We start from the raw sequence: 26570 nt of genomic DNA on the forward strand, positions 1-26570 counted from the left end.
CTCCCTCTGAGGATGCTGGCTGAGTTCTGCCCAGTGTTGCTCTCAACTGCAACATGGGAGCACTAAATTCCAACACAGTCCCACAATCACTGCGATCTCCCTCCTTCAACTGTAGAGTCTCTCTGTGTGCCACGTGGCCACTGCTGGGGGCTGGGGAAGGGGAGGTGTTAGCAATTTAAGACTGTCTTTCCTACCCTCCTCAGTGTCTCTTTCAGTCATATGAAGTTAAAACCAGGTACTATGAGTGCTCACCTGATTTTTGGTTCTTATGAAGGTGCTTTTTAATATAGATAGTGGTTAAATTTGGTGTCCCTGTCAGGAGACACCTCCACAATTGGTGGAGGCTTCTATTTAGCTGTCTTGCTCTGCCTCCTCCATTTTGTTGTTGTTGTTGTTGTTTTTTTAGACAGACTCGCACCCCGGTTGGAGTGCAGTGACACAAAAATGGCTCACTGCAGCCTTGACCTCTGGGACTCAAGTGGTTCTCCCACCGCAGCCTCCTGAGTAGCTGGGACTACATGTGTGCACCATCGTGCTCAGCTCATTTGTGTTTTTAATTTTTTTGTAGAGATGATGTCTTACTATGTTGCCCAAGCTGGTCTCAATGTCCTGGGCTTAAGGGATCCTCTGGCCTCAGCCTCCCAAAAGTACTGGGATTATAGGCATGACCTGTTATTGTTTATGAACTGTGTGCTCTTTACAATTTTCTCTTTGCAAGCATTTACTCTTTGATTTAACTCACCATTACTACAACCACTTGTCACTCATAGATTTGCCAGAGATTAGGTAAATATTTTACTTGTTTCTATTAATCTTTTTTTAAATGTACATGTAGCTTGCATTTATTTCAATGTTTAAAACTGGAGATGTTTTGGGTCTTTCTTTAGAACTTTGATGATGTTTATAAAACATCTGTAGGAACTTAATTCTTGTTTATATAAATTAGCCTTTTTTTTTTTTTTTGAGACAGAGTCTTCCTCTGTTGGCTAGGCTAGAGCACAATGGCTCAACCTCAGCTCACCGTAATCTCTACCTCCCGGATTCAAGTGATCCTTCCACCTCAGCCTCCCAAGTAGCTAGGACTACAGGCTTTTTTTTTTGTTTTTGGTAGAGACGAGGCTCACTCTATTGCCCAGGCTGGTCTTGAACTCCTGAGCTCAAGTGAACCTCCCATCTCAGCCTCCCAAAGTGCTGGGATTACAGGTGTGAGGCAGTGTGCCTGGCAAGCCTATGGCAAAACTGGCTTCCTGATGTATCATTTGCTTAAAGTCACAGTTTCCAAGTACCTATCAACATTAAGTGATGACTTAAACTGTATAATCCTTTAACTATACTGCTGAATTCTGTTTGCAAGTACCTTTCTGAGGATTTTTGCATCAGTCTTCATAAGGGATACTGGTCTGTAGTTTTCCTGTAGTACCTTTACTGGCTTTGGTATTAGGTTAATGCTGGCCTCATAGAACGTGTTAAGGGTATGCCCTCATCTTCAATTTTTGGGAAGTCTGAAATGATTGATACAGTTCTTCTTTAAATGCTTGGTAGAATTAATCAGTGAAGCCATCAGGTTTAGGGCTTTTCTTTGACAGGAGATGTTTGATTACTGATTGAATCTCTTTAGTAGTTACAAATCTACTCATATTTTTTATTTCTTCATGGTTTAGCCTGGTAGGTTTAGTGTTTCTAGGAATTTCTCCATTTCACTTGGGTTATCCAATTTCTTGGCAGACAATTGCTGACAGTATTCCCCTATAACTCTTTTCATTTCTGTAGAAATGGTAGTAATGTCTTCATTTTCATTTCTGACTTGTCTCCTTTGTTATAAGTAGATCTAGCTAGAGATTTGCAAAGTTTTTTGATTTTTGAATAACCAACTTTTGGTTTCATTTTGATTTTTCTATATTATTTTTCTAGTCTCTATTTCATTTATATCTATTCTAATCTTTACTACTTCCTTTCTACTGCTAGCTCTGGGTTTAGTTTGCTCTTCCTTTTCAGTTCCTTAAATTGGAAAGTCCGGTTGGTGATTTGATATTTTTCTTATTTTTTAAATAATTTTTAATTTTGCTTTCTTCAGACCAGACTCTTATTTTTTAATGTAAGAATTTATAGCTAGAAACTTCCCCCTTGGCACTGCTTTTGTTGTGTCTCATAAGTTTTGGTATGCTGTGTTTTCATTTTCACTTGTCTTTATAAGTATTTTATTATTTGTCTTGTGGTTTCTTTTTTTTTTTTTTTTTTTAGACAAACAGCTTTATTTGAAAGACGGAGGACAGCCGAGTCCCCCCGACCCCGTGGTCCTGGCGACATCGGTCTCACGTGTGGGAAGACCAGTGTCCTGTGGAGAGAAAACAGGGTTAGGGGTCGGCAGCCTGGGTCAGGAGCCAGACCACGCGAGCGGCCGCACCCAGGGAGAGGCCGCGGGGCCTGTTGGGGCTGGGTTTCACCGCCGCACATGTGTCAGCGTGCGGTGAGCTGAGGCCCCTGGAGGCTCTGGGCGCCGAATCTCACCCGCTGCCATGGCCAAAGCCGGGGGGTGATTTTCAACCAATGCCGGGTGGTTTCTTTTTTGATCTAATGGTTAAGAGTGTGTTAATTTCTATGATTTTTAAATTTTCCAGTTTTCTTTTTGTTTTTGATTTCTAAGTTCATCCCATTGTGGTCAGGGAAGATATTTTGCTGTCTTTTAAAATCAATTCAGACTTAATTTATGACCTATCTTGGAATTTATCCTATGTATACTTGAGAAGAATGTGTATTTCATTGTTGGGTAGAGTGTTCTGTATATGGTTGTTAGATCTAGTTGGTTTATTGTGTTGTGAAAGTCCTATATTTCCTTGCTTAGATTTTGATGGTTCTATCCACTACTGAGATTGGGATATTAAAGTCTCCAACTATTAATGTAGAATTGTACTTCTCCCTTCAATTACGTCAATTTTTGTTTCATATATGTTGATGGTTTGTCATTAGGAGCATACATGTTTACAACTGTTAAACCTTCTTGCTGTATTGAACCTTTTATGTTTTTTATTTTTTTAAGACAGGATCATGCTCTGTCGCCCAGGCTGAAGTGCAGTGGTGTGATCATAGCTCACTGCAGCCTCCAGTGCTTTGGCTCAAGCTATCCTTCTGCCTCAGCCTCCTGAGTAGCTGAGACTACAGGCACATGCTACCATGCTCAGCTAATTTTTTAATTTTCTGTAGAGACAGCGTTTCACTGTGTTGCCCAGGCTGTCTCCAACTCCTGGTCTCAAGGCACCCTCATACCTTGGTCTCCCAAAGTGCTGCGATTACATGCCTGAGCCAACGTGCTCATCCTGAACCGTTTTTTAGTATATAATGTCCTTCTTTGTCTTTAGTAATCTTTTTTGCTTTGAAGTGTATTTTGTTGTATACTAGTATCGCCATCCTTAATATTTGGTAATTAGTTTCATGGAATATCCTTTCCCATTCTTTCACTTTTAACCTGTTTTTGTCTTTGGATCTTAAGTCTCTTACAGACAGCATATACAGTCATGTATCATTTATGTATGGGTATATGTTCTTAGAAATGCATTGTTATGCAATTTCATCATCATGTAAATATCACAGAAGGTACTTACACAAACCTAGATGGTATGGTATAGCCTATTGCTCCTAGGCTACAAAGCTGTTACGGCATGTTACCATACTAAATACTGTAGGTAACTATAACCCAATGGTGTTTGTATATCTAAACATAGAAAATATATAGTAAAAATACGTTATTATAATCTTACCATTGTATTACCATCCTATGTGCATTCCATCATTGACTGAAATGTTATGTGGCACAGGAGTCTTGAATCATGGTTTTTTAAAACCCATTCTTCTAATCTCTGTCTTTTCACTGAAGTTTAACCCATTTACATTTAAAATAATTACTGATGAGGGAATTCTGTCATTTTGCTATTTTCTATATATATTGCAGCTTTTTTTGGTTCCTCATTTCTTATCTGTCTTCTTTCATGTTTAGTTGATTTTTGTAATGAAACTTTTAACTTCCTTTCTTATCTTCTTTTAGCTATTTTCTTTGTGTTATCATGGGATTACATTTGACATCCTAAATAAGGAAGCTTCTAACATAAATTTATAGCAGCTTAATTTGAAAAAGATACAAAAACTGCTCCTTAACTGCCCTGTCCCCCACCCCTTTCAGCTGTTGATATCACATAATTACATCTCTATATAACATGTGTCCAAAACAAACTAAATCTATTAGTCCCTTAAATTAAGTAGAAAACAAGATGTGGAGTTACCTGTTGTGAAAATGTTTTCTGGGTATGTGACCACAAAGTGCATTGTAGCATGCAGTGACCTAAAAATGCATACCAGTGCTAAAATAACTGCTGCTGTCTGCAACATCCCTCCTCTCCTTAGGAATGTTGACCAGACTCTACAAAACCCAAACAGTTCCTGTAAGCAAAGAGTAAACAGATTAAGAAAACAACCAGACGGCTTAACACACCATCAGTGACTTCCCCCGCCCCTTCCATTCCCTCTTCATGATATAAAAGACTAGATAGGCATGTACTATAAGCACTGAAATCTACCTTGTCTTGCTGCTGCCCAAGGCTGCCTTATAAATTTCCCCTGGATAAATCTTTGACTACCTGCCAACCCGGAATCATCTGCCTTTTTTTTTTGGTCTGATGGCAAATCAGTAATTTGCCTCCACTTGTAGAGGGCAATTCTCAGTCCTGGCAGGGAGTTTTCCCAACAAAAGCAAAGTTACAATAACACTAGCTTTTGGCCTAATCATTGGTTTTTGTTAATGTATTGGTCTCAAGTCATGTTGTAAACAAAAAGTGGAGTTACATACCATTGTTACAATAATACTAGCTTTTATAATTTCCCATGTATTTACCTTTACTTATCTTTATTTCTTTATACAAGTTCAGTTACTGTCTAGTGTCCTTTCAACTTGCAGGACTTCATTTAGCATTTCTTGTAGGGCAGGTCTAGTGGTAATGAACTCCCTCAACTTTTGTTTATCTGGAAAGTCTTATCTTCTACTTCAATTTCGAAGGACAGTTTTTGCCAGGTATGGGATTCTTTTATTTTTTTTTTGACACAGAGTTTCGTACTGTTGCCCAGGCTGGGGGGCAGTGGCGCAATCTTAGCTCACTGCAAGCTCCGCCTCCTGGATTCATGCCATTCTCCTGGAGTAGCTGGGACTACAGGCACCCACTACCACGCACAGCTAATTTTTTGTATTTTTAGTAGAGATGGGGTTTCACTGTGTTAACCATGATGGTTTGGATCTCCTGACCTCGTGATCCGCCCGCCTCGGCCTCCCAAAGTGCTGGGATTACAGGCGTGAGCCACTGTGCCTGGCCAGATATGGAATTCTTGATTGATAGACTAAATTTTTTCTTTTACCACTTTGACTATATTAGCTCATTGTCTTCTGGCTTCCAAAGTTTTTGATAAGAAATCTGCTGATAATCTTATTGAGGATCATTTGTATGCGAAGAGTCATTTCTCTTTTGCTGCTTTCAAAATTCTCTTCTGATAGTTTGATTATAATGTATCTCAGTATGTGTTTCTTTGAGTTCATCCTACTTGGTTTATTGAACTTCTTAGATATTCATATTCATGTTTTTCATCAAATATGGGAAGCTGTTGGTCATCATTTCTTCAAATATTCTCACCAGCCTTTTCTCTCTCTTCTCCTTCTGTAGTTATCACAATGTGTATGCTGATCTGGTTGAGGTATCGCACAGGTTCCTTAGACTGCTTTCACATTTCTTCAATCTCTTTTCTTTCTGTTCCTCAGACTCAATAATTTCCATTATCCTCTCTTCAAGTTTTCTGACTCTTTCTTCTAACTGTTCAATGTGCCTTTGAATCCCTCTTGTGAATTTTTAATTTCAGTTATTGTACTTTTTAGCTCCAGAATTTCTTTTTGGTTTCTTTTAGGTTTTCTATCTGTTTTTGATATTTCCATTTTGTTCATAAATAATTTTCTTGACTTTAAATTCCTTTTGTTTTTTGAGTCTCTTTAGGTTTCATTTGAATGGGTTACACTTTCCTGTTTCTCTGTATCCTTTGTGATATTTTTGTTGAAAACCAGACATTAGAATTTACTAATGTGTTAACTCTGGAAATCAGATTCTTCCTCTTCTCCAGGGTTTGCTGTTTTTGTTACTGTTTTTATTATTTTTGTTTTTTTGATTGTTGTAAGCCCTCTTTGCCTAAGATGAGTCTGAAGTATAAATCTAAGGTCTTCTCAGAGGTCTTTTCTGAGCCTGCACCATCCCCTAGGCTGTGCCATGACTTTCTGATTTCTCTCATATATGCAATTGTGTTTATGTCTGGCTCCCAAAAGGGGAAAATGAGAAAAATGAATGGGAGTGGGGAGGGAAACACCAGCTCTTTAATTCTCCTGGAAGTCACTTCAACCAGAAGGTGAGGGGCTTGCAACAATGGAAGTGCAACAATGGCTAATGACTCTCTGCACCTCTGTGATCACGAGTGGCAGTTAGGAATCAGAGCACAGATCTAACGTTTTGAGGACAATGTACTTTTTGCCCCCCTAGCTCCTACAAGCTGTGTGCAAACCACTCTAGGAACATGTGCACAGCTGCGTGCCATGAGATTCAGTGGTAGGAGATGGTTAGCTGCTGCTGTGCCAAGACTGGAAATTGACCAATTTTTTTTTTTTTTTGAGACAGAGTCTCGCTCTGTTACCTAGGCTGGAGTGCAGTGAGGTGATCTTGGCTCACTGCAACCTCCGTCTCCCAGATTCAAGTGGTTCTCCTGCCTCAGCCTCCAGAGTAGCTGGGACTACAGGCATTCACCACCACGCCTGGCTAATTTTATATTTTTCGTAGAGACGGATTTTGCCATGTTGGCCATGCTGGTCTTGAACTCCTGACCTCAGGTGACCCATCCACCTCAACCTCCCAAAGTGCTAGGATTACAGGCATGAGCCACTGCACCCCACCTCTCTTTTCCTTTTTTTGGTCTTAAAACAACATGCATTTATTTGGGTCACAATGCTATAGATTGGCTATTTGGGCTGGGCTCCGCTGGGCAATTCTTCTGGTCTCTGTTGGACTCATTCCCGCATATTTTCCCCCAGTTGCTAGGTTGGCTAAGTGTCGGCTATTCTAAGACAGATGGCTCACTGCTGCTCCACATAATCTCATCTCCCAGTAGGCTAGCCCAGGTTTGTTCTATAGCAGCTGAGCAGGATCCCAGAAAAGCAAGTGGAAGCATGCAAGACTTCTTAAAGGTTACGCTTAAAACAACTACATGATCACTTTCACCACATTCCATTGGGCAAAACTTCATAACACGGCTAGCTCAGATTCCAGGGTTGAGGAAATAGATTCCACTCTTTAATGAGGGGAGTTACAGAGACACATTGCAAATGAATGAATATAGGGAGGAACAGAGAACTGGAGACATTTCTGCAATCCTCTTCAAAGCATTAGCATATATATTTTGCCTTAGGCTTTATTTTCTAAGGGACTCAGGCTATGACAGTGTCTATTACACTAATTTTTTTTTAAAGAAATTGACAAAATTTAACCACAATGTACTGTCCAAGTCTTCCTCTGGAAGCTGCAAGTTTCAATAAATTCTACAGTTCTAAAATACAGATGGTTCCTTGATTTATGACGGAATTATATCCCAGATAAATCCATCACAAGCTGAAAATATCTTAAGTCAAAAACACACTTTTGACATATTATTTTTAACTTACAACGGGTTTATCTGGGACATAACCTCACTGTAAGTCGAGAAGCGTACTAAAATCTATAACATTTTTGGACTATTGTAAAGTTGAAAAATCATAAGTGAAACCGTCGTAAATCAGGGATTGTCTGTACATAAGACAGACTCTGCCAGTGTAATTTTTGTCTAGGTGAGGAGACAGATTTCTGGTGCTTCCTATTCTGCCATTTTCCTAGAATCCTCTCCTATTTGTTTCATTTTCATTCATTCTATATTGATTAATATTAAACATCTAATATTGTGACTTTATATACTACTTTGGCTGAACTCTCATGTTTCTATTTTTTTTGTTCTCATTGTGATTAATTTCTAAATAGTTTATAAATCTGCAATCACGGTTGCGATTTTCTCCTTGACCCAGATTTAAGGCATTTTTCCCTTTAGCTTCCAATTAGATGAATTTCCTTTTATCTTTTTATCTAAAAAATTATTTTTAGTGCTGTTAACAGAGTGTGTAACTTAAAATTGAGATTTTTTGGGTGTAATTTTAAAAATCAATTTTTATAAATGTTTCCTGGTCATTAAAGGCAACTTCTCTATCTGCAAGTTATAAAGTTTAATATAGCTGTTAAATCTTGTATTACTACTTAGGTTCTTTTAAAAATTGTCTATTACTTCCCTGCTGAGGTTTCAAATACAAAGAATGGTATATAATCAAACAATTTAAAGGTGAGGAGAAAGAGAATGTGATGGTTAATAGTGAGTGTCAACTTGATTGTATTGAAGGATGCAAAGTATTGATCCTGTGTGTGTCTGTGAGGGTGTTGCCAAAGGAGTTTAACATTTGAGTCAGTGGGCTGGGAAAGGCAGACCCACCCTTAATCTGGGTGGGCACCATCTAATCAGCTGCCAGCATGATCAGAATATAAAGCAGGCAGAAAAAACGTGAAAAGATTAGACTGGCTTAGCCTCCCAGCCTATACCTTTCTCCTATGCTGGATGCTTCCTGTCCTCAAACATCAGACTCCAAGTTCTTCAGGAACTCGGACTGGCTTCCTTTCTTGCAGCTTGCAGATGGCCTATTGTGGGACCTTGTGATGGTGTGAGTTAAAACTACTTAATAAACTCTCCTTTATATATAAATATATATATCTATTCCATTAGTTCTTTCCCTCTAGAGAAACCTAATACAGATTTTGGTACCAGGAGTGATTCTACAGGAACAGAATATTAAGGATGGAGTTCTTTTGTTGGTTTTGGGGTTTCTGAAGTTGGCTGCTTAATATGATTAGACCCCAAAATGCTAAGGACTCTAATAGTATGGAGAACACTGATAGTCGCTGGCATGAACTTTTTTTTTTTTTGAGACGGAGTCTTGCTCTGTCACCCAGGCTGGAGTGCAGTGGCGCAGTCTTGGCTCACCGCAAGCTCTGCCTCCCGGGTTCACGCCATTCTCCTGCCTCAGCCTCCCGAGTAGCTGGGACCACAGGCACCCACCACCATGCCCGGCTAATTTTTTGTATTTTTAGCAGAGATGGGGTTTCACCATGTTAGCCAGGATGGTCTCGATCTCCTGACCTTGTGATCCGCCTGCCTCGGCCTCCCAAAGTGCTGCGATTACAGGCTTGAGCCACCGCGCCCGGCCTGGCATGAACTTTTTAGAGAGTTATGAAAAATAAATGCGTTTGACACTCCTGATTCACCACTTGTGAGAGGCAAGGAGTTTAGTGACTCTATACATAATACCTTTGACTCTATGTGGAGAACAAAGGAACATAATTAAGTTGGTTGGTTGTTCCTAAGTTCACTGGACAAAGTGAATCCAAAGGGATTCTAACTCCTCGCTCCAGAAGCAGATACTGAGCCTCAAATCTAAGACTGTCCTAAGTGAGAGTCTTATCTCCTGTAGAGAAAGAACTGAAATTGTGGAAAAACAGACACAAGCTCTTATTAGGCAAGTGGCTGACCTGCAACAAAAGGTGCATGCACAGCCTTGCCAGGTGTCTACTGTTAAAGTGAGGGCATTGATTGGAAAAGAATGGGACACTGTAAGTTGGAATGGGGACACTGAGCTTGTAAACGCTGATGAACTTTTTTTGCCAAAAGAAACAGCTTCCCCATCCCGGGTAGCAAGTAGCGGCAACATCCCCTCCCTGACCCACACTGTCATCAGCCTTTCTACCTTTGTCGGAGGAGATAAACCCTACACTGCCTGAGGCAACAGTGATGGCCTCCCCTGAGGCAGCTGCCAGGCAAGATAACGTTGATTCTCCTCAGGAGCCACCCCCAATACCCTTGTTTGCTTCTGGATCTATAACAAGACTAAAGTCCCGGCAGGCCCCTAGAGGTGAGGTTCAGAGTGTGACCCATGAGGAGGTGCACTATACTCGAAAATAACTGCTTGAGTTTTATAATTTATATAAGCAGAAATCTGGAGAACAGGCATGGGAATGGATATTAAGGGTGTGGGACAATGGTGGAAGGAACACAGAGTTGGATCAGGCTGAATTTATTGATTTGGGCCCACTAAGTGGGGATTCTGCATTTAATGTTGCAGCTCGGGGAGTTAAAAAAGGTTCTAATAGTTTATTTGCTTGGTTAGCTGAAATATGGATTAAAAAATGGCCCACTATGAGCGAGCTGGAAATGCCTGATCTCTCTCAATTTAATGTAGAGGAAGGGATCCAAAGGCTTAAGGATATTGGGATGGTGGAGTGGATTAGCCACTTTAGACCTACTCATCCCAGCTGGGAGGGTCCAGGAAATAGACCCAAAACCCCTTGAATGAAGGGGAGGCCAGTCCCCTTGAGGAAGGACCCCGCTATATTACCGACAATTTATGCTGTTAATCTTTCTCTCATTCTCCCCCAAGAAGATCTCTAGCCTTTTACCAGGGTAAAACTGTGCACTGGGGAAAGGGAAATGATCTGACATTTCAGGGACTACTGGACACTGGCTCTGAGCTGACGTTGATTCTAGGGGACCCAAAATGTCACTGTGGTCCTCTAGTTAACATAGGAGCTTATAAAGTTCAAGTAATTAATGAAGTTTTAGCTCAGGTCCAACTGACAGTGTGTCCAGTGGGTCCCTGGACTCATCCTGTGGTCATTTTCCCAGTGCCAGAATGCATAATTGGCACAGGCATACTTAGCAGCTGGCAGAACCCCCACATTGGCTCCCTGACTGGTAGAGTAAGGGCTATTATGGTGGAAAAAGCCAAATGGAAGCCATTAGAGCTGCCTCTACCTAGAAAAATAGTAAATAAAAAACAGTATCACATCCCTGGAGGGGTTGCGGAAATTAGTGCCACCATCAAGGACTTGAAAGACACAGGGGTGGTGATTCCCACCACATCCCTGTTCAACTCTCCCATTTGGCCTCTGCAAAAGACAGATGGATCTTGGAGAATGACAGTCAATTATGTAAGCTTAACCAAGTGGTGACTCCAATTGTGGCTGCTGTATCAGATGCGGTTTCACTGCTTGAGCAAATTAACACATCTCCTGGTACGTGGTATGTAGCCATTGACTTGGCAAATGCCTTTTTCTCCATTCCTGTCCATAAGGCCCACCAGAAGCAATCTGCCTTCAGCTGGCAAGGCCAGCAATATACCTTTACTGTACTACCTCTGTGGTATATCAACTCTCTGGCTGTGTCATAATCTTATTTGGAGAGAACTTGATCTCTTTTTGCTTCCACAAGGTATCACACTGGTCCATTACATTGATGACATTATGCTGATCGGATCCAGTGAGCAAGAAGTAGCAAATACACTGGACTTACTGGTGACACAGAAGATGGAAAATAAATCTGACTAAAATTCAGGGACCTTCTACCTCAGTAAAATTTCTAGGGGTCCAGTAGTGTGGGTCCTGTCGAGATGTTCCTTCTAAAGTGAAGGATAAGTTGCTGCATTTGGCCCCTCCTATACCAAGAAAGAGGAACAACGCCTAGTGGGCCCATTTGGATTTTGGAGGCAACACATTCCTCATTTCGGTGTGTTACTCTGGCCCATTTACTGAGTGACCCGAAAGGCTGCCAGTTTTGACTGGGGTCCAGGAGAAGGCTCTACAACATGTCCAGACTGCTGTGCAAGCTGCTCTGCCACTTGGGCCATATGACCCAGCAGATCCAATGGTGCTTGAGGTGTCAGTGACACCTCAAGGGATGCTGTTTGGAGCCTTTGGCAGTCCCCCATAGGTGAATCACAGTAGAGGCCTCTAGGATTTTGGAGCAAGGCCCTGACATCTTCTGCAGATAACTATTCTCCTTCTGAGAGACAGCTTTTGGCCTGTTACTGGGCTTTGGCGGAAACGGAACGTTTGACTATGTGTCATCAAGTCACCATTCAACCTGAACTGACTATCATTAACTGGGTGCCTTCTGACCCATCTAGCCGTAAAGTGGGTCATGCACAGCAGCATTCCATCATCAAATGGAAGTGGTATATACGTGATCAGGCTCGAGCAGGTCCTGAAGGCACAAATAAGTTACATGAGGAAGTGGCTCAAATGCCCACGGTCTCCACTCCTGCCACCCTGACTTATCTCCCGAGCCTGCACCGATGGCCTCATGGGGAGTTCCCTATGATCAGCTGACAGAGGAAGAAAAGACTAGGGCCCGGTTCACGGATGATTCTGCACGATATGTAGGCACTACCCAAAAGTGGACAGCTGTAGCACTACAGCCCCTTTCTAGGACATCCCTGAAGGACAGCAGTGAAAGGAAATCTTCCCAGTGGGCAGAACTTTAAGCAGTACACCTAGTTGTGCACTTTGTATGGAAGGAGAAATGGCCAGATGTGCGATTATATACTTATTCATGGGCTGTAGCTAATGGTTTGGCTGGATGGTCAGGGACATGGAAGAAGCATAATTGGAAAATTGGTGACAAAGAAATCTGGGAAAGAGATATGTGGATGTATCTCTCTGAGTGGTCAAAAACTGTGAAGATATTTGTATCCCATGTGAGTGCTCACCAATGGGTGATCTCAGCAGAGAAGGATTTTAATAATCAAGTGAATAGGATGAGCCCTTCTGTGCATACTCAGCCTCTTTCCCCAGTTACGCCTGTCATTGCCCAATGGGCCCACGAACAAAGTGGCCATGGTGGCAGGGATGGAGGTTACATATGGGCTCGGGAACATGGACTTCCACCCACCAAGGCTGACCTGGCTACGGCCACTGCAGAGTGCCCAATTTGCCAGCAGCAGAGACCAACACTGAGCCCTCGAAATGGCACCATTCCTTGGGGTAACCAGCCAGCTACCCGATGGCATGTTGATGATATTGGACCTCTTTTATCATGTAAAGGGTAGAGGTTTGTCCTCACTGGAATAAACACTTATTCCAGATATCGGTTTGCCTATCCTGCATGCAATGCTTCTGCCAAGACTACTATCTGTGGACTCACAGAATGTCTTATCCACTGTCATGGTATTCCACACAGCATTGCCTCTGACCAAGGCACTCACTTTATGGCTAAAGAAGTGTGACAGTGGGCTCATGCTCATGGAATTCACTGGTCTTACCATGTTCCCCCGTCATCCTGAAGCAGCTGGAATGATAGAACGGAATGGCCTTTTGAAGTCACAATTACAACATCAACCAGGTGACAACACTTTGCAGGCCTGGGGCAAAGTTCTCCAGAAGGCCATGTATACCCTGAATCAGCGTCCAATATATGATACTATTTCTCTCATAGCCAGGATTCACAGGTCCAGGAATCAAGGGGTGGAAGTGGCACCACTCATCATCACCCTTAGAGAGTCACTAGCAAAAGTTTTGCTTCCTGTTCCCATGACATTACGTTCTGCTGGCTTAGAGGTCTTAGTTTCAAAGGGAGGAACACTGCCACCAGGAGACACAACAGCAATTCCATTAAACAGGAAGTTAAGATTGTCACCTGGACACTTGGGGCTCCTCCTACCTTTAAGTCAACAGTCTAAGAAGGGAGTTACAGTGTTGGCTGGGGTGACTGACCCGGACTATCAAGATGAAATCAGTCTACTACTTTTTTTTTTTTTTTTTTTTTTTTTTGAGACAGAGTCTCGCTCTGTCGCCCAGGCTGGAGTGCAGTGGTGGGATCTCGGCTCACTGCAAGCTCCGCCTCCCGGGTTCACGCCATTCTCCTGCCTCAGCCTCCCAAGTAGCTGGGACTACAGGCGCCCGCCACTACGCCCGGCTAATTTTTTGTATTTTTAGTAGAGACGGGGTTTCACCGTTTTTAGCTGGGATGGTCTCGATCTCCTGACCTCGTGATCTGCCCGCCTCGGCCTCCCAAAGTGCTGGGATTACAGGTGTGAGCCACCGCGCCCGGCCCAGTCTACTACTTTTAAGTCAACAGTCTAAGAAGGGAGTTACAGTGTTGGCTGGGGTGATTGACCTGGACCATCAAGATGAAATCAGTCTACTATTCCACAACTGAGGTAAGGAAGAGTATGCATGGAATACAGAGATCTATTAAGGTGTCTCTTAGTATTACCATGCCCTGTGGTTGAAGTCAATGGGAAACTATAAAAGCCCAGTCCAGAAAGGACTACAAATGGTCCAGACCCTTCAGAAATGAAGGTTTGGGTTACGCCACCAGGAAAAAAACCACGACCTGCTGAGGTGCTTGCTGAAGGCAAAGGGAATACAGAATGGGTAGTAGAAGGCTAGTCATCCATACCAGCTACAACCAAGTGAACAGTTGCAGAAATGAGGATTGTAATTGTCCTGAGTATTTCCTCCTTTTGTTAAAAACATGTTTGTGCATATATACACTTGTACTAAGAAAATATCTTCATTTTATTTCCTTTTTTTTTGAGATGGAGCCTTGCTCTTGTTGCCCAGTCTGGAGTGCAGTGGCAGGATCTCGGCTCACTGCAACCTTTGCCTCCTGGGTTCAAGTGATTCTCCTGCCTCAGCCTCCCGAGTAGCTGGGATTACAGGCATGCACCACCATGCCTGGCTAATTTCTGTATTTTTAGTATGTTGGCCAGGCTGGTCCTGAACTCCTGATCTCAAGTGATCCGCCCAGCTGAGCCTCCCAAAGTGCTAGGATTACAGGCGTGAGCCACAGCGCCCGACCATAATATTATTTTTGTGAAAATATGTGTTCTGAGTTCTAAACATTCAGCTTACAAATCCCCTTTTGCAACATGAGTGTTTGTAGAGTATGTGTGTGTTTTGAATGTGTGCATGTGAGTATATGAATGTGAATGTGTAAGTGCACGAGTTTAAGTGCACAAGTGTGTGTTAGTGTGTGCATGGGTAGGAATGTGAATCTGGTTGTGAGTGTGTGTGAGTGTGACTGTGTGTGTGGGGAGGGCTGCATGTGCTGAGAGCTGTCAAGAATGAGGACTTCCGTTTCTCCTCACCAATCTCTAGATCCTGCCTTATTTTATCCTCTCCTAAGCCTTATGCAAACTTAAGAAAAATCAGGTTGAGACCCTCTATTACTGTCAAAAGCCATTACTCATCTCGGCCTCCCAAAGTGCTGGGATTACAGGCGTGAGCCACTGCGCCCAGCCTCCTTTTATCATGGGACATTAAGATTTACTTCATATCAGCATTTAAGTATTGTTAACTTTATGTAATAGCATTTGGGTTGGGGACTGGTGTGTTTCCAGCTGTACAAAGGATAGTTGTATTAGGTGTAATTATGACATTATTATTGTCTTTATTTGAAGATTATGAATGATCTCAGGAGATATGTATGTGTTTAAGTTGACAAGTGGTGGACTTGTGATGGTTAATACAGTCAACTTGATTGGATTAAAGGATGCAAAGTATCGATCCTGAATGTGTCTGTGAGAGTGTTACCAAAGGAGATTAACATTTGAGTTAGTGGGCTGGGAAAGGCAGACCCACCCTTAATCTGGGCGGGCACCATCTAATCAGCTGCCAGCACGACCAGAATATAAAGCAGGCAGAAAAACATGAAAAGACTAGACTGGCTTAGCCTCCCAGCCTACAGCTTTCTCCCATGTTGGATGCTTCCCGTCCTCAAACATTGGACTCCATGTTCTTCAGCTTTGAAACTCGACTGCCTTCCTTTCTCCTCAGCTTGCATATGGCCTATTCTGGGACCTTGTGATCATGTGAGTTAATACTACTTAATAAACTCCATATATATATATATATATATCTCCTATTAGTTCTATTCCTCTAGAGAACCTGGACTAATAAAGAGAACGAGATAAAAGAGGAAACAACAGAGGCCATGATTGCACTTTTTACATATATCAAATATTGGCAAGTCTGCCATCCTAGCTTCCCATCTGCCTACAAGTGGGCAGAGCCATTTTTAACCTTTCTTACTGTGAACATACTTCAATTCACTTAGAATTCTTGAAGTCCAGGCCAAGCACCTCTAGGGTAAAATTTAGCATTCTGTTTTATCCAGGTGTTCACTAACGGTTCCATATTAATTTGCTTCTGCAGATAAAGTATAAATTCCTCATGGGCTAAAATCACACCTTATTTTGTATCTTCCCCTTGCACCAACCACTAGCATAGTACTGAGTACATAGTTCAAATGCCATTAACTCCACAGTGATCCTACCTATGAAGATATGACTTGAAGAATTCTGAAACTCATTAAGCTAACCTATACAAGGATACTAATTTACTATTTATATACTGAAATTAAAGCCCTAGTATGATGTCTGGGGTTACCAAACACAGTGATATAGTAATTTGGTGGAGGCCAGCAAGGCCAATGCCATACTTCTCAGGGTAACTGGAATTGTGTCTTCAAAGGAGAAGTAATTCCCACTATCAACTGGGAGGTACAGGGTATCAAACTTGTGAGAAGAGCCCTTCTGTAGGCTCAAGGAGTGCCAGTGGCATTCAAGGAGGAGGGAGGGAGAGGATTTTTGTCCCCAAGGGGCATCTAGCAACATTTTGAGACAGTTTTGGTTGGTGGTGGGGTGCTACTGGGATTTACTGGGTAGAAGCCAGGGATGCTGATAAAATAAACATCCTACAATGCACAGGATAACCTTCCACAACAAAGAATTATCTGACTTAAAATGTCAATAGTGCCAAGGTTGAGAATCCTTTCTTTCATAGGCAATCAAGGGAATTCTTTGTCCTCTGTGCTCAGACCTGAACTTAAAGAGTAAAATTATCTAAGAGCTGTTTCTGAGTAAGACAAGTTACGAAATGGGCACTGTCATCAGGAGGTGGCATATCTAGTTAAAAAAAAAATTCAGAAATTGAGTAGTCTTATTTTGTATATAAGATTATCCTTATGCTATTCTGTTTTCTACTTTTTTTTTTTTTTTTGAGACACAGTCTTGTTCTTGTCCCCGAGGCTGAAGTGCAATGGCATGATCTTGGCTCACTGCAACCTCTGTCTCCCAGGTTCAAGCGATTCTCCTGTCTCAGCCTCCTGAATAGCTGGGATTAAAGGCACCTGGCACCACGACTGGCTAATTTTTGTATTTTTAGTACAGATGGGGTTTCGCCACGTTGGCCAGGCTGGTCTCAACTCTTGACCTCATGATCCACCCTCCTCGGCCTCCCAAAGTGCTGGGATTACAGGTGTAAGCCACTGCACCCAGCCTGTTTACTTTTATGTTTTAGAGATGGGGGTCTCGCTGTGCTACCCAGGCTGGAGTGCAGCAGTGCAACTATAGCTCACTGCAGACTTGAACTCCTGGGCTCAAGAGATCCTCCAGCCTCAGCCTCCTGAGTAGCAGGAAGTAGAGGTGTACACAACCACACCCACTTTTTTTTTTTTTTTTTTTTTTTTTTGGAGACAGGAGGTCTCACTCTGTTGCCCAGGTTGGAGTGCAGTTTTGCGATTTCAGCTCACTGCAACCTCCACCTCCCTGGTTCAAGCGATTCTCCCACCTCAGCCTCCCGAGTATCCGGGATTACAGGCATGTGCCACCACACCTGGCTGATTTTTGTATTTTTTGGTAGAGACGAGGTTTCACCATGTTGGCCAGGCTGGTCTCAAATTCCTGGCCTCCAGCAGTGCTCCTGTCTTGGCCTCCCAAAGCGTTGGGATTATAGGCATGAGCCACCACACCCAGGTACTACTGTGTGATTTTAATATCCAATGTTTTTTCTTCTATTACAAAAGTATCTTTACATACTTATCTTACCCTAAGCCATTGAAATTGTTCCATTTTAAGTTGTACTGACAAAGGATCCAAATTTACAGTTTCTGCTCAGCTGTGTAGCAAAGTATTAAGGAAAGGGTTACATGTTCACACTTTGAGGCCAAGTGGTAGTGACTCCAAGGACAAAATGAACAGTCAAAAAACAGGGCTGTATAATCCATCCATTCTTTCCAACAGTAGAATTTCCTCCAATTATCAATTCTGGAGATTCTGGGGTTATTCAATTAAGAAGAGTAGCACATACTTCAGTCACATGAGGACACTCTCAAAATACAAGTTGAAAATACAAAACTCCTCATAACAATGTCAAGTGCCAACAATGATTTTTAAAATTTAAGTAGGGCTGAACTGTGTGTAACTGGTGAAATGTTCAAGTTAACAATCCTTACACACGAAATCTCTCACTTCACTGACTTAATTCATTATTTGCTGAATAAACAATAAACTTCCAGTCAGTAGTCAAGAGTTGGCAATCTAGCTGGTAGGACATAACATATAATCATGAAACAGCAAAAACAGTATTCAAAGATTAAATTAGCAATACCCCAAAATGTGTGTTAGAGTTAGCATAAAGAATTTCTGATGTAGTTTACCAAGAGCTAAACTAAAAAGTCCAGAATACAAAAAACAGGGATGCAATGATGTTAGTTTTTTTCACCATCCTTGAAATTCTCCCATTAACCACAGCTCTGAGTTTTCAACTGCTCTTTGTCCTTAAATCTTCAGATTCCCTCCTTTGAATGGGATAGGTAGAGCAGATTAGAAGAAATATATTCCGAGGCTCTCTAATAGTTTCTGGATGATTAACCTTCATGAAAATAACCTCACAGATAAGTAATTAGGATTTTTCAGCCCATTTCTATAAACTAAGTAAACTTTTTTTCTAGTGAACATAACTTGATATATTAGTGACTGTAGAAAGTCTTTCTACAGCAACAGGAATTATATCAAGGCTTTTGCAAATTCCTGGCAACTCCGGGCATGTTTAAGTTCTACTACTCATCTGTTCTGACTATATTTTCATCTGATGGAATAAGCAGTTCATCTCCTTTCCTAGAACTTTTAGTGCTCTACTGTCCCCCTCACTTTAGTTAAGGTCTGCCATGTCCTCCTCTCCGACAGTCCTTGACTTTCCCAATGGCATATTCATCTGCTCAAACAGATGTCACTGCAAAACAAAACAAACTTTTAACAAAAAGCAATGTTTGCATATTTGGGGCCTTTTGTATGACAATATTGCACGTTTCCTCAGAAAAATTCACGGAGATTCTTTAAGGTTGGGGGTTTAATCTATTGATATTTTCCTTAGGTAGACAAAGACAACCTCTAAGTGCGCTCAGTTAATCTTTAACCGCTACATCATCGTCACCCAGGCACTAAGACATAACTAGGGCATAATGAGTTTTATTTCCACCAGGGGCGCCTAGTAACTACCAGGTTCAACGCTCCCAGGTGGCCGACATGTGATGTGCTCTACTGTTTGGGCTGGGGATATTAGCTCAACAAACTCTGGCCACAAGGATCACGCGGATATTCTTGGGGATGCCTAGCGAAATGCGCTGTACCTAGGCCTCGAACTCTCGCCTGCTCTCCGGTGGGCGGTCTCGAACTCCAGCCTGCTCTCCGGCAGCCCACAGCAATGCGCCTGCCAAGACCTTAGGCTGCAAAACTCGCCACGGCCCAGAGCTCGCCTCCAAGTGCGCCCCGCACAGGGCAAGCTTTCGGCGAGGACTCGCGTCCCACCCATCTAGCCCTGGCCGCTGTCCCAACTCCCGCAGTTCACAGAGGCGGCGGCGGTGAGCGCAGCCGATGCCACATCCTCAGCGGCAAGCTGAAGAAACCTGTCTCCTCTCTGGGGCGACCAAACGATACGTCGATGCCGGAACCGACCCGACGCCGGAGCCGTCGGCTCCGTCCTTACCGTTGCTCTCCAGGTACACGCCCCCGTCAAAGGCGGCTCTGCGGCCCTCTCGCGAGAGAGTGCCCGTGGTACCTCCTTCCTCTCAGTTGTCTGTCTCTCCCCGCCCCCGGAGTGATTGCGCGGCTTCCTCCAGAGGGCGGGAACCTTGGACGTGGCGGGGCTGGGTCAGTCAGGGCGCTGGGCCCAGCCTCTCTGCAGGCTGGCCTTCCGCGCTGCCGTGAAGCCCCCGACAGGTCCCACGCCTGCCTAGGTAGACCGGCGCCAGCCCGAGTGACGCCTGGCGTGTGGCCGCGGGCAGGCGGCTCCGTGCGGCGGGGCGGGCGGGTGCCACACCTGTGCGGGCAAGGGCGGGGCGGGAAGGTGCGCAGGCGCGCTCGGGGCTGGTGGGCGGTGGCTCCTGGGAAGTTGCGCAGCCGAACTGGCCGGCTGGGCGCGCGCTCTTGCGGTGGCGTAATCTCTCAGCCTTTCTGTGTCTCCTTTCCTCCGCCTCAGTTTGGGGCGGGTCGGGGGAATGGCTGAGGAGATGGAGTCGTCGCTCGAGGCAAGCTTTTCGTCCAGCGGGGCAGTGTCAGGGGCCTCAGGGTTTTTGCCTCCTGCCCGCTCCCGCATCTTCAAGATAATCGTGATCGGCGACTCCAATGTGGGCAAGACATGCCTGACCTACCGCTTCTGCGCTGGCCGCTTCCCCGACCGCACCGAGGCCACGATAGGGGTGGATTTCCGAGAACGAGCGGTGGAGATTGATGGGGAGCGCATCAAGGTGAGCGGATGGGGAACTGTTGGGGAGGACAGGGTGACAGGTGTCCCAACCCCACCGTGGGCTGGTCGCTGGCCGTGTGCACGGTGTGTGTGCGCTCCATTTTTTTCTCACGCTGATGAGATTGGAGTTGGGGATTGGAAGGATTGCAATACTGCAAACTTCTAAGGCAGCGTTTCTCAGACTTCATTGTGCATGCGATTTACCTGGGGATCTTGTTTTTGAAAATGCAGGCTATGATTTAATAATCTCGCTGATGATGCAGGTGCAGCTAGTCCGTGGACCACACTTTGAGTTCAGGAGTGTAGGGCTTATCTACCGACCCATTTACTGTGTGTGTCGTGTGCTGGGAGTCAGTCAAATATGAACGGAGGAAAAACAGTGAAATTGCGCGAGAATGGAAAATTCATTTAATCAGTAATAGTTATTAAACATTCATTCGAGCAGTGCCTTAGATGTTGTGGAAGTAAAGCCTATTGCCTTTGAGGAAGTACTTAGGTATTCTCTTGCATACAGTTTTGCTGTAGTAGTTTCTTTATGATACTGATTTTAGAAAAATCTATTTTCCTGCAGAAACATTCTATATGTGATAGTTCCTACTCAGGTTGCCAAAAGCATTTCTCATGATGCCACCTCAGACACACGCCCAATTCTTTATTCCCTTTAAGTCGTTATTTTTGGTCCCTGGGACTGGGGACACTGAGTGACAGTAATAGTGGAGAAGGTAGTATAGGCCCCAGGGCAGGTTTGAAGTTCTGAGGGGTTGGAATCTAACAGTGGAATGAGGATCAATGACAAGGCTTAGGCCTCTTGATGGTATAAACCTTAGACACACCTTCATAGCAAGCCACCACTAAATGCCACCTGTTGATGCCACTCCTTAAAACATAGGTGGAACCACCTTGCCTTATACTACTGCTTTAAATCAGCGATCGTCTTTATCTCAGTCTCTTGGTGGGGATGGGGAGTGGTGGGAGAACAGGCTTGCTTTAGACGTTCCTACCCTCGTATCTTAGAGGCAAGAACAATTTATTTTTCAGTTCCCTAATCATCGCCCCCCACCCCAACGGGTTATACTGCTAATGATGGTAGAGGTGAAGTAAGCTGGGTTAAAAGAAATTAACCTTTCTTTGGTGCTTCTGTCTTTTAATTTTTCACATTAGTATTTCATGTCCCATATGAGCTCTCAGTGGTGGTTTTGGAGTTGCTTTGTATTAGGGAATTTAGAAAGATTTGTATACTTGCAGAAGAAAAGATAGAATAAAAGGCTAAACATTTTTCACCAGAATTAGGTTTGGCCCAGAAGCCTTTGGGGTGAAAAATAATGGAGCTTCTGAAGTTCCAAGGGAGTTAAGATTGGGAGAAGCAGGAATCTGGGAAGTACGTGGGCTTTGGAGCCCAACTAACCTGGATTCATATCTGAACCTACGAAAGGGTAGGGATGGGCTGCGTGTCCTTACTAGGGTGACCAACTTTGCCCAAGACTGTCCAGGTTTTAAAACTGGGTCTCACATCCCGGGGACCCCCTGTATTGGGCACACCAAAATAGTTGGTCACCCTGGACCTTAGGCAGATTCTTTAACCTCTCAGAGTCTGTATTTTTCTTCCGAAAAACTGGGATCATGATACCTTATCAGGCTGCTGTGAGGATCAGATGAGGACATATATGAAGCACCTGGTTCATAGTTGGTGCCTTTAAAAAGATTCTTTGTCTTTCCTGGTGGCTTAACATTATTTTTCCTGTTTGCCACCATTAGTTCTGCAGTTGTACACCCAAAGTTGAAAGCAGAGATAGTGGAGGGCATAGGTAGACAGCTAAGGGGAGAGAAATTTAAAAAACAAAACAAAAACAAAAACGGAAGTAGGAAATTCTTTCAAAAGTGGAGAGAATGAGGGTGGGGGAGGAGTTGGGATTTGAGGGCCCTTTATCTGTTCCTGGGTTGCCATTTATACTTAAAGATAACAGATGAATCAGGTGCAAATTTAAGAGATAATAGTATTGAAAAAATATAAAGCATGTGCAGTGTATAAAGTCAATTACCTAACTACTGAGGTGAGTGCTGGCAGTGATAAATAAGACAGAACCACAGGTATGACGAATCTGGGAGCACAGAGTTGATAATTCTGGTTGGGAAGAGCAAGGAGATGATATTTTTTGGGGAGATTATTTCTACTGAACTTTAGCCTAACTTGTTACATTGATATGGACTTGAATACTGAGATCATTTTTCTTCTAAGGCCCTAGCCGTTGATTTGTGCCACCAATGGTGAGACTTGAGAGAGATTTTTATTGTGGTTGAAATGACTACAGACATGTTCTGAGGTTTCTATAGTAGGAAAAGATATAGCTATGTTGGGCATTTTTTAAAACCACAGAGCTTAATTTTTTTTAGTGCCCTTTTTTTCGAAAACTGAAAAGTGATATAAAGAGCTTTATTCTATGTGCTGCTTCTGCTGCTTTTTGGTTAACCTGTAATACATCTTGAGTGCTGCTGAAATGTTCATATTACGTCTTTGGAAAATTGTAGCCTGATCTAAAATGACATTTTTCCTAATTTTTCATCTCAAAGCTGGAAAGCTCTATTACTTTACTAGTAAAATGCCATTCTAGACATTATTTCTTTGATAAAAATGAGATATTGCGTTAAATGTTTTGATAATCATGGACTAGAAAATTTTCAGAAAGCATGACTTAACAACAGTGCCCTTTCAGAATCCGTTAAAATGTTTTATGAAATTTAAGAAAGCCTATATCTGCTAATCCATTCCTAAGCAGTATGTGCAGGTAGTTGAAAGAGGAAAATCTTGTTTGCAAAATTTTGGAAGTCGAATAAAATTATAAAATTAAATTCCTTAAATACAAATACATTCGGCTTTTAAATTGAGACTCCTAACTCTAATCCTTATGCTCCTTCCTCGTGTGTATATCCCCTTCATGACTAATTGTATTCCTTTAGCACAATCATTTTCCAGTGGCAGACACACCAACCCATTAAAGCCTGGTGTTGTATTTAATCCGGCCTCCCATTAGAGGTCAGCAGGTCCTACTTGAACATTTTAGTAGCTTACTTTTTTGTAGCGGTAGAAATGAAATGTTCCCATGTTAAGTGCAAAATGTTAATATTAACTAAAGGAAAATAATCAGGACCTCTCCCCACACTGGTAAAACAAATATTTAATGAGTAATTGCTGGAAAGAAGACATTTTGATAAGCACAGAGAATTATGATACGGCACAAGGGTCAGCAAACTATGCTTGAGGGCCAAAAATGGTCTTTTGCCTGTTTTTACATGGCCACAATCTAAGAATGATTTTTTACATTTTTTAATGTTTAGGGAAAATATCAAGATTTCATGACATGAAAATCATATGAAATTCAAAATTCACCTAGGTTGTACTACTTTAATCCTTCTTATCCTTGTACTCTCACCCCTCTCTTTGCTCTGAGTCCAATTGGTTTTCCACCTGCACACTTTCTATTAACTGTCTTGTCTTCAAAATTCTAGTTCAAGTCCTTTTTTTAACCTCTCTTTGAACTGTTGCAGCAGCTTAACAGTTACAGCAGCTTAACTGATCTCCCAGTCCTCAATTAATCTATTTTGTACATTGTTGCCAAAATGCCCGATTAATGTTGTACTTCAAGATTTATCTCCCCTAACTCAAGTGCCCTTTATATTATATTCTCCATTATGTTATAAAGTTCCAGCTGGGTGTTGTGGCTTGTGCCTGTAGTCCCAGCTACTCCTGAGGCTGAGGTGGGAGCATTGCTGGAGGTTCAAGGGTACAGAGCACTATGATCGAGCCACTCCAGCAGAGCCAGACCCTGTCTCTGTCTCTCTCTCTTTTTTTTTTAACACGTTTATTTTAGGTTCAGGGGTACATGTGCAGGTTTATTGTATAGTTAAACATGTCACAGGGGTTTGGTGTACAGATTATTTTGTCACCCACATATTTTGTCACCCACATATTAAGCATAGTACCCAATAGGTATTTTTTCTGATCTTCCACCTCCCACCTTCCACCCTTCAGGAGGCTCCAGTGTGTGTTGTTCCTGTCTTTGTGTCCGTGCGGTATTTGGTTTTCTGTTCCTGCATTAGTTTGCTTAGGATAATAGCCTCCGGCTCCATGTTGCTGCAAAGGACATGATCTTGTTCTTTTTGTGGCTGCATAGTGTTACATGGTATGTATATACCACATTGTCTTTATCCTGTCTACCATTGATGGGCATTTAGGCTGATTCCATGTCTTTGCTATTGTAAATAGTGCTGTCATGAACATACATGTGTAGATGTCTTTATGACAGAATGATTTATGTTCCTTTGAGTGTATACCCAATAATGGGATTGCTGGAGCAAATGATAATTCTGTTTTTAGCTCTTTGAGGAATCACACCACTTTCCACAAGGGATGAACTAATTTACACTCCCACCAGCAGTGTATAAGTGTTGTCTTTTCTCTGCAACTTTGCCAGCATATGTTATTTTTTGACTTTTTAATAATAGCCCTTCTGACTGGTGTGAGATAGTATCTCATTGTGGTTTTGATTTACATTTCTCTCATGATTAGTGATGTTGAGCATTTTTTCATATGCTTTTTGGCCACAGATATATCTTCTTTTGAAATGTGTCTGTTCATGTCCTTTGCCCTCTTCTTAATGGGGTTGTTTCTATTAAGAACAAATCCCATCTCAAAAAAAAAAAAAAAAAACCTTCCAGCCAGCCAGATTCCAGTGACTCACACCTGTAATCCCGGCACTTTGGGAGGCCAAAGATCACTTGAGCCCAGGAATTCAAGACCAGCCTGGGCAACATAGTGAAGCCCCATCTTTACCAAAAATTTAAAAAAATCAGCCAAGTACGGTGGCATGTACCTGCAGTCCCCGCTGCTCAGGAGGTAAGGCAGGAGGATTGCTTGAGCCCAGGAGTTGGAGGCTCTAGTAAGCCATGATCACACCATTGCTCTCCAGCCTGGGCAAGAGAATGAGACCCTGTCTCTTAAAAACAAAAAAAGAGTCTCCTCACACCTCCAGTCAGCTTCCTTCTATGAACTCTTTTAGCACCTTACCTGAACCTTTAGATGATTTCTATCTCATTGCATACATACCTGTCTTACCTCCCTTACTAAGTTTTATTCAGGGCAGGATCCATGTCTGGTAATTCCATAGACTTCTTTCAGTGTCTAGTTCAGTTCTTTTTTTTTTTTTTTCTTTTGAGACAAAGTCTTGCTCTGTTGCCCAGGCTGGAGTGCAGTGGCATGGTCTCAGCTCACTGCAACCTCCGCCTTCAGGTTTCAAGCAATTCTCCTGCCTCAGCGTCCCAAGTAGCTGGGATTACAGGCGCCTGCCACCCCACCCCGCTAATTTTTTGTATTTTAGTAGAGACGGGGTTTCACCATGTTGGCCAGGCTGGTCTCAAACTCCTGACCTCGTGATCTGCCGCCTCGGCCTCCCAAAGCGCTGGGATTACAGGCGTGAGCCACCGTGTCCGGCCTAGTTCAGTTCTTAAACCACATAGTAAGTACTCAGGGAAAAGTGTTGAATATATAGAGGCAGAGAGATCAGTTGGTAGGGTACTCTGGAAATCCAGAATTGAGGTGATAAGGGAAAATAAAGGGGTGATAGAAGAGGTATTTTGAAGATAAAGCCAAAGTCTTCAGTAACTGGCTGTTGGTGATGAGAAAGAAGAGGACTAGATGAGTGAGGTTGTGAGTCTGGGTGACAGGAGGTAGGTAGTGGAGCTAAGGGGGACTACGTGGAAGATTGAATTTGGACAGGCTCTGTAACATTATGATTTAGTCATGTGTTTATTGAGATGATCCTATATTCAAATGGAAATACTGATTGGCAGCTACAAATACCGGATTGGCACACAGGAGAAATAATTATGCACATGAAGTTGAAGTTTGGAAGCACGGATAGAACAAAATGTAGCTAACATGCCTAGAGAGAATAGTAGAAATTTTGTTAAATTTTTTTATGGCATGATGAAGATGACATTCAGTGAATGCTGTGTAAATATAAAATATAAATTGGGTTACTAATTATTGTTCTGTGTTGATCTTCATTAAAAGTAAAT

At 42.7% G+C, this 26570-nt stretch overlaps 1 protein-coding gene, 1 long non-coding RNA gene and 1 other non-coding gene across 5 annotated transcripts in view, besides 3 other annotated features; 1 reads left to right on the top strand and 2 right to left on the bottom strand.

Annotated features, from left to right (window-relative positions):
• Window positions 1-2422: 2422 nt before the first annotated feature.
• Window positions 2423-2549, bottom strand: LOC124900188 (small nucleolar RNA ACA64). The gene has a single exon (XR_007058554.1). It is a non-coding gene; the product is annotated as a small nucleolar RNA ACA64 (small nucleolar RNA).
• A 1881-nt stretch (window positions 2550-4430) lies between these two features.
• RAB33B (RAB33B, member RAS oncogene family) overlaps window positions 4431-26570 on the top strand; it is a 38234-nt gene continuing 16094 nt past the window's right edge. The window contains exons 1-2 of one of the 2 annotated variants that reach the window (XM_011532299.2): window positions 4431-19752; window positions 20232-20499. In XM_011532299.2, coding sequence (XP_011530601.1) covers window positions 19628-19752; window positions 20232-20499 — 393 coding nt within the window. In that variant the 5' untranslated portion in view covers window positions 4431-19627. Of the gene's footprint in view, window positions 19753-20175; window positions 20500-26570 lie in introns of those variants that run through there. The other variant, NM_031296.3, reaches the window with a different exon arrangement.
• RAB33B-AS1 (RAB33B antisense RNA 1) lies at window positions 17730-20096 on the bottom strand. 2 transcript variants are annotated; one of them, NR_159963.1, is made up of 2 exons: window positions 19740-20096; window positions 17730-18986 (listed from the first exon to the last, which is right to left on the bottom strand). It is a non-coding gene; the product is annotated as an RAB33B antisense RNA 1 (long non-coding RNA). The 2 variants fall into 2 exon arrangements; NR_159964.1 differs by having other exon boundaries at window positions 17730-20096.
• Window positions 19464-19803: an enhancer, noted in NCBI's record as "active region_21924". NCBI's record gives its function as "activates an Ori minimal core promoter by ATAC-STARR-seq in GM12878 lymphoblastoid cells {active_cell/tissue: GM12878}" and the evidence as "EXISTENCE:reporter gene assay evidence [ECO:0000049][PMID:35858748]".
• Window positions 19874-20203: a silencer, noted in NCBI's record as "silent region_15700". NCBI's record gives its function as "represses an Ori minimal core promoter by ATAC-STARR-seq in GM12878 lymphoblastoid cells {active_cell/tissue: GM12878}" and the evidence as "EXISTENCE:reporter gene assay evidence [ECO:0000049][PMID:35858748]".
• Window positions 20424-20473: an enhancer, noted in NCBI's record as "active region_21925". NCBI's record gives its function as "activates an Ori minimal core promoter by ATAC-STARR-seq in GM12878 lymphoblastoid cells {active_cell/tissue: GM12878}" and the evidence as "EXISTENCE:reporter gene assay evidence [ECO:0000049][PMID:35858748]".

The sequence above is a fragment of the Homo sapiens genome, chromosome 4 (genome assembly GCF_000001405.40).
Source record: "Homo sapiens chromosome 4, GRCh38.p14 Primary Assembly".
NCBI lineage: Eukaryota > Metazoa > Chordata > Mammalia > Primates > Hominidae > Homo > Homo sapiens.